The sequence below is a fragment of the Homo sapiens genome, chromosome 10 (genome assembly GCF_000001405.40).
Source record: "Homo sapiens chromosome 10, GRCh38.p14 Primary Assembly".
NCBI classification, from domain to species: Eukaryota; Metazoa; Chordata; class Mammalia; order Primates; family Hominidae; genus Homo; species Homo sapiens.
Window position 1 is genome coordinate 42,132,665 of NC_000010.11, and position 8,321 is coordinate 42,140,985.

The window sequence follows — 8,321 nt, forward strand, 5'->3', positions numbered from 1 at the left end:
TTCTTTCATATCCATCTTACAAGATGAGAGACCTTTTAACGTCTTTCATTCCGATGTGATACCAGTAATGGAAAATATTCCAGCTTCACGAATATGGTGATACAAATAGTTATCCATCTAACCTCTGTCAGTGCCAAATGTTTACTTTACTCAGTGAATTACTCAGTTGACTGGTAATTTCTTCTGAAATCACTAATGAGAGGGTCAGAGGTCTGGCTGTGGTCTGTACCTCATGTGACTCCCAGTGCAGACAATTGTTTCTATGGAGCACAGACAGTTGAAAGGATTGACTTCCTGCCTAGAATAGTTTCTGCTGTGCTCCTTATCTTTCTTTCTTTTTTTTGTTTTTATTATACTTTAAGTTTTAGCGTACATGTGCACAATGTGCAGGTTAGTTACATATGTATACATGTGCCATGCTGGTGCACTGCACCCACTAACTCGTCATCTAGCATTAGGCATATCTCCCGATGCTATCCCTCTCCCCTTCCCCCACCCCACAACAGTCCCCAGAGTGTGATATTCCCCGTCCTGTGTCCATGTGATCTCATTGTTCAATTCTCACCTATGAGTGAGAATATGCGGTGTTTGGTTTTTTGTTCTTGCGATAGTTTACTGAGAATGATGATTTCCAATTTCATCCATGTCCCTACAAAGGACATGAACTCATCATTTTTGATGGCTGCATAGTATTCCATGGTGTATATGTGCCACATTTTCTTAATCCAGTCTATCATTGTTGGACATTTGGGTTGGTTCCAAGTCTTTGCTATTGTGAATAATGCCGCAATAAACATACGTGTGCATGTGTCTTTGTAGCAGCATGATTTATAGTCCTTTGGGTATATACCCAGTAATGGGATGGCTGGGTCAAATGCTATTTCCAGTTCTAGATCCCTGAGGAATCGCCACACTGACATCCACAATGGTTGAACTAGTTTACAGTCCCACCAACAGTGTAAAAGTGTTCCTATTTCTCCACATCCTCTCCAGCATCTGTTGTTTCCTGACATTTTAATGATTGCCATTCTAACTGGTGTGAGATGGTATCTCATTGTGGTTTTGATTTGCATTTCTCTGATGGCCAGTGATGGTGAGCATTTTTTCATGTGTTTTTTGGCTGCATAACTGTCTTCTTTTGAGAAGTGTCTGTTCATGTCCTTCGCCCACTTTTTGATGGGGTTGTTTTTTTCTTGTAAATTTGTTTGAGTTCATTGTAGATTCTGGATATTAGCCCTTTGTCAGATGAGTAGGTTGTGAAAATTTTCTCCCATTTTGTAGGTTGCCTGTTCACTCTGATGGTAGTTTCTTTTGCTGTGCAGAAGCTCCTTAGTTTAATTAGATCCCATTTGTCAATTTTGGCTTTTGTTGCCATTGCTTTTGGTGTTTTAGACATGAAGTCCTTGCCCATGCCTATGTCCTGAATGGTAATGCCTAGGTTTTCTTCTAGGGTTTTTATGGTTTTAGGTCTAACGTTTAAGTCTTTAATCCATCTTGAATTGATTTTTGTATAAGTTGTAAGGAAGGGATCCAGTTTCAGCTTTCTACATATGGCTAGCCAGTTTTCCCAGCACCATTTATTAAATAGGGAATCCTTTCCCCATTTCTTGTTTTTCTCAGGTTTGTCAAAGATCAGATAGTTGTAGATATGTGGCGTTATTTCTGAGGGCTCTGTTCTGTTCCATTGATCTATATCTCTGTTTTGGTACCAGTACCATGCTGTTTTGGTGACTGTAGCCTTGTAGTATAGTTTGAAGTCAGGTAGTGTGATGCCTCCAGCTTTGTTCTTTTGGCTTAGGATTGACTTGGCGATGCGGGCTCTTTTTTGGTTCCATATGAACTTTAAAGTAGTTTTTTCCAATTCTGTGAAGAAAGTCATTGGTAGCTTGATGGGGATGGCATTGAATCTATAAATTACCTTGGGCAGTATGGACATTTTCACGATATTGATTCTTCCTACCCATGAGCATGGAATGTTTATGCCAGGCAGAGACACAACAAAAAAAGGGAATTTTAGACCAATATCCTTGATGAACATTGATGCAAAAATCCTCAATAAAATACTGGCAAAACGAATCCAGCAGCACATCAAAAAGCTTATCTATCATGATCAAGTGGGCTTCATCCCTGGGATGCAAGGCCGGTTCAATATACGCAAATCAATAAATGTAGTCCAGCATATAAACAGAGTCAAAGACAAAAAACACATGATTATCTCAATAGATGCAGAAAAAGCCTTTGACAAAATTCAACAACCCTTCATGCTAAAAACTCTCAATAAATTCGGTATTGATGGGACGTATTTCAAAATAATAAGAGCTATCTATGACAAACCCACAGCCAATATCATACTGAATGGGCAAAAACTGGAAGCATTCCCTTTGAAAACTGGCACAAGACAGGGATGCCCTCTCTCACCCCTCCTATTCAACATAGTGTTAGAAGTTCTGGCCAGGGCAATTAGGCAGGAGAAGGAAATAAAGTGTATTCAATTAGGAAAAGAGTAAGTCAAATTGTCCCTGTTTGCAGACGACATGATTGTATATCTAGAAAACCCCATTGTCTCAGCCCAAAATCTCCTTAAGCTGATAAGGAACTTCAGCAAAGTCTCAGGATACAAAATCAATGTGCAAAAATCACAAGCATTCTTATACACCAACAACAGACAAACAGAGAGGCACATCATGAGTGAACTCCCATTCACAATTGCTTCAAAGAGAATAAAATACCTAGGAATCCAGCTTACAAGGGATGTGAAGGACCTCTTCAAGGAGAACTACAAACCACTGCTCAAGGAAATAAAAGAGGATACAAACAAATGGAAGAACGTTCCATGTTCCTTATCTTTCTTGTGGAGATTTCAGATAATCTGAATTGCTTTTCTATCTTAAGAAAAAATGCAACAATTCTCCCACCTGAGAGGAATGTAAACTGTAGTAAGTTAGCAGAACCAATCCGTAAAATTTTTACATTGTTTGTTGCAAAATGCAGCGCTGGGGTCTCCTTCACTAACCTTTTCTATCCCTCATTGCTCTTTCTTTGACTGCAATAGGTTACCTCTGGGCAAATCTGTATTCCCGAGAAAGAGTGCCCTTTTGGTGAGCTATAAGCACACTCAATGGTGGGCTGAAATACTAGCTTTTATCTATGGCGAAATGGAATCATATCAGTGATTTTTTTAAAAAGGAAATTTAACTCTTGCTATGGTTTGAATGCTTGCCCCTTCCAATCTCATGTTAAAATTTGATCCCCAATATTGCAGGTGGGGCTTACTGGGAGGTGTTTGGTCATGGGGTTGGACCTTCATGAATGGATAATACCCTCCCTTAGGAATCTAAAGGTATCCTCCCTCCTCGGTGCCCTCAGGAATGGGTGTACCATTCTTTATTCACTTATAATTCCTCCACCCATCCTTTTTGAGATATTAATTACATGTATGTTACACTGCTGCATATTGTCTGACGTATCAGTGAGTTTCTGGCTTTCTTATTTTAGTTTAACCTTTGTCCTTTAGTTTGTAAAGCTTCTATTTTTTTCTATAAATTTTCTGATGTTAGGGTAAAATCCATTACTTATTCTATCTCATGGAATTTTTATTTCAAATATTTATTCTTCATCTATACATGTCACATTTTTCATTTTATAACTTCTATTTTTCTCCTATGTTCAATTTTCATTTAAGTACCTTGACATATATATGTATTCATCTATATGTATTTATAAAATATATTTACTTTAAGGACCTTGAAATTTCCTTCTTCTCTGTCATTTATAAATGACTTATTTTTATCCTATTAATATATATCTTAATTATATATATCTTACGGCTTCTTTGCATGTCAGAGTTTTTTTTTGGGTATTTTGGTGTTATGCTATTGAATATCTAGATTTTATTGGCTACCTTTGAACAATGTTGTGGCAGACAGTTCAGTAACTTCAGGATGAGTATTTGTCTGTTGTTGTTTTAAATCTTCTCTTTAAACTTTGTCGAGTTAGTCTAGAGCCATCTGTAATTTGGAGCTAAATGAGCACTGTCTCTAGGGCATGAACCTCCAGTGGTCTTTACTGAATATCCTGGAGGTACAGAGGGGATTCCCTTCTCTGGCTGGTCAGAGCTAACGTGTCTTCCTGTCATGTGAAGCCAGGGAAGTGTTCTTCTTCCAACTCCCTGGTAGAGTCCTTTGCTGAGCTCCTTAGAATTTCATCCTATGTACATTTGGCTTAGGGACTTGGGAGAATCCTTAGGCTGAATCTTGGTTCCTTTTTCTGTAAACGTTCTCTTCTATTACACATTCCAGCTGCTTAACCTTTTTTGATTTTTATCTGGTTCCTCAGTGCAATGACAATGTCTGCTCTCTCTGGGATTCCTCTCTACTGCTGTCACGGAGAATCTGGGAATAAAGCAGGACTCATTCTGGCTCCTTCTCTTCTCTTGCAGAGCACAGTCCTACGCTGCCTGATGTTCAGTACTTCAAAAAAATGTTTCATATATTTTCTCCAGTTTACTATTCTTTAAAAGAGTAACTCCAGTCCCAGTTACAGCATCATGTTCTGTAACTCTACTCCTTGTTGCTTCATTCTGCCATTGTCTGGTATGATCGCCCCTTTCCCTTCTGTAATCAGACCAAGAGCATAATATAACACTAGTTATAACTGCACAGCTTGCCTCCGTTGTTTAAAAAAATCACTGAGACTTAACTGTGTACAACTTTTAAAATTTGAATATAAGTACAACTAAAGCTATATTTTGGTTAATATTTGCATTGCATGCTTTTCCATTATTTACTTTCAACATATGTGAAATATGAATATAGCTCCCTCTCCCTCTCCCTCTTGTCTCCCCACGGTCTCCCTCTCCCTCTCCCTCTCCCCAAGGTCTCCCTCTCCCTCTCCCTCTCCCTCTCCCCACGTTCTCCCTCTGATGCTGAGCCAAAGCTGGACTGTACTGCTGCCATTTCGGCTCACTGCAACCTCCCTGCCTGATTCTCCTGCCTCAGCCTGCCGAGTGCCTGCGATTGCAGGCGTGCGCCGCCACTCCTGACTGGTTTTCGTATTTTTTTGGTGGAGACGGGGTTTCGCTGTGTTGGCCGGGCTGGTCTCCAGCTCCTAACCGCGAGTGATCTGCCAGCCTCAGCCTCCCGAGGTGCCGGGATTGCAGACGGAGTCTCGTTCACTCAGTGCTCAATGGTGCCCAGGCTGGAGTGCAGTGGCGTGATCTCAGCTCGCTACAACCTCCACCTCCCAGCCCCCTGCCTTGGCCTCCAAAAGTGCCAAGATTGCAGCCTCTGCCCGGCTGCCACCCCGTCTGGGAAGTGAGGAGTGTCTCTGCCTGGCCGCCCATCGTCTGGGATGTGAGGAGACCCTCTGCCTGGCTGGCCAGTCTGGAAAGTGAGGAGCGTCTCTGCCCGGCTGCCATCCCTTCTAGGAAGTGAGGAGCACCTCTTCCCGGCCACCATCCCATCTAGGAAGTGAGGAGCTTCTGTGCCCGGCCGCCCATCGTCTGAGATGTGGGGAGCGCCTCTGCCCCGCCGCCCGGTCTGGGAGGTGAGGAGCGTCTCTGCCCAGCTGTCCCATCTGAGAATTGAGGAGACCCTCCGCCCGGCAGCCGCCCCGTCTGGGAAGTGAGGAGCATCTCCACCCGGCAGCCACCCCGTCCAGGAGGGAGGTGGGGGTCAGCCCCTGCCCGGCCAGCTGCCCCATCCGGGAGGGAGGTGGGGGGTCAGCCCCCCGCCCGGCCAGCCACCCTGTCCGGGAGGTGAGGGGCACCTCTGCCCAGCCGCCCCTACTGGGAAGTGAGGAGCCCCTCTGCCCGGCCACCACCCCGTCTGGGAGGTGTACCCAACAGCTCATTAAGAACGGGCCATGATGACAATGGCGGTTTTGTGGAATAGAAAAGGGGGAAAGGTGGGGAAAAGATTGAGAAATCGGATGGTTGCTGTGTCTGTGTAGAAAGAAGTAAACATGGGAGACTTTTCATTTTGTTCTGTACTAAGAAAAATTCTTCTGCCTTGGGATCCTGTTGATCTATGACCTTACCCCCAACCCTGTGCTCTCTGAAACATGTGCTGTGTCCACTCAGGGTTAAATGGATTAAGGGCGGTGCAAGATATGCTTTGTTAAACAGATGCTTGAAGGCAGCATGCTCGTTAAGAGTCATCACCACTCCCTAATCTCAAGTACCCAGGGACACAAACACTGCAGAAGGCCTCAGGGTCCTCTGCCTAGGAAAACCAGAGACCTTTGTTCACTTGTTTATCTGCTGACCTTCCCTCCACTATTGTCCCATGACCCTGCCAAATCCCCCTCTGCGAGAAACACCCAAGAATGATCAATAAAAAAGTATAGCAATTTATAATGTTTGATTTATCATTAGCCTATTGGCGTGTAATAATACTTTGCATACTTTTAAAATTCTGGGGTTGGATTAATAATAAAAGAGTAGAAACATTAAAAAAATATGAATATAAATTATAAAAATTTTAAGAGAGTCCATTTAAAAAATCTGGTCTAGTTATGTTTTACCTGGTTTAATACAACGTGCATTCTTGAATTCAGGGTCTAATATAATGGCTACATTTGTCTATTTGCAAAAAAAAACTTGACAATATTTTAAAATTAATTTATCCAACTCGCAACTTATATGCTTCTGCCGTTGTATGGAAGATACATTTTAAACTTTATGAGATAGCATTCTGTTATACAGTTGATATCTAATTAAATTTCTCTCTATGTTTATTTCTTTCATTAAAAAAATTGTTCTTCTAACTGCAAACTTTCATCAGGGATCATGGCTCTTCTACCTGAAGAATAATCTTTAGTATTTCTTTTCCTGTGGGTCTTCTTGGGAGAAATTCTTTATTGTATCTTTGCTTTTGATGGATATGTCCACCAAGTAGACAGTTCTAGGTCAGCACATATTTTATTTCAGGACTTGAAAGATATCAATACCTCACTTGTTGGCTTTCGTTGTTTCATTTGAGAAATTTGTTATCAGTCAACTCTTTCTCTTTGTAGTTACCCCAATTTTTTTATCAAGTGCTCTTTACATTTTTCTTTTACTTTTCAGAAATTGTCCCATTATGTTTCTAGATGTGTCCTCTGTGTGTGTTTTCCTTTGCTTTCAAAAGCCTCCTGAACCTGTGGTTTAATATTATTGGTCAATTTTGATAAAACCTCTAACATTGCCACTTAAAATGCTGTTCAGACACGCTGTTTTCTCCTTCTTAGATTTCAACGTGTTAGATTATTACTCTATCCTTCATATTTTTTAAATGACCTTACTCTACAATTTCTTTTAGTTGGTTAATCTGTATTACTGTATATTTTGTATTTTATTCTATTTTATTTTATTATTATACCTTAAGTTTTAGGATACATGTGCACAATGTGCAGGTTTGTATCATAAGTGTTCATGTGCCATGTTGGTGTGCTGCACCCATTAACTCGTCATTTAGCATTAGGTATATCTCCTAATGCTATCCCTCCCCACTCCCCCCACCCCACGACAGTCCCCGAAGTGTGATGTTCCCCTTCCTGTGCCCACGTGTTCTCATTGTTCAATACCCACCTATGAATGAGAACATGCGGTGTTTGGTTTTTGGTCCTTGTGAGAGTTTACTGAGAATGATGATTTCCAGTTTCATCCATGTCCCTACATAGGGCACGAACTCATCGTTTTTTGTGGCTGCATAGTACTCCATGGTGTATATGTGCCACATTTTCTTAATCCAGTCTATCATTGTTGGACATTTGGGGTGGTTCCAAGTCTTTGCTATTGTGAATAATGCCGCAATAATCATACGTGTGCATGTGTCTTTATTTCAGCATGATTTATAGTCCTTTGTGTATATACCCAGTAATGGAATGGCTGGGTCACATGGTATTTCCAGTTCTAGATACTTGAGGAATCGCCACACTGACATCCACAATGGTTGAACTAGTTTACCGTCCCAACAGTGTAAAAGTGTTCCTATTTCTCCACATCCTCTCCAGCACCTGCCGTTTCCTGACTTTTTAATGATCGCCATTCTAACTGGTGTGAGATGGTATCTCATTGTGGTTTTCATTTGCATTTCTCTGATGGCCAGTGATGATGAGCATTTTTTCATGTGTTTTTTGGCTGCATAAATGTCTTCTTTTGAGAAGTGTCTGTTCGTGTCGTTCACCCACTTTTTGATGGGGTTGTTTGTGTTTTACTTGTAAATTTGTTTGAGTTTATTGTAGATTCTGGTTATTAGCCCTTTGTCAGATGAGTAGGTTGCAAAAATTTTCTCCCATTTTGTAGGTTGCCTGTTCACTCTGATGGTAGTTCCTTTTGCTGT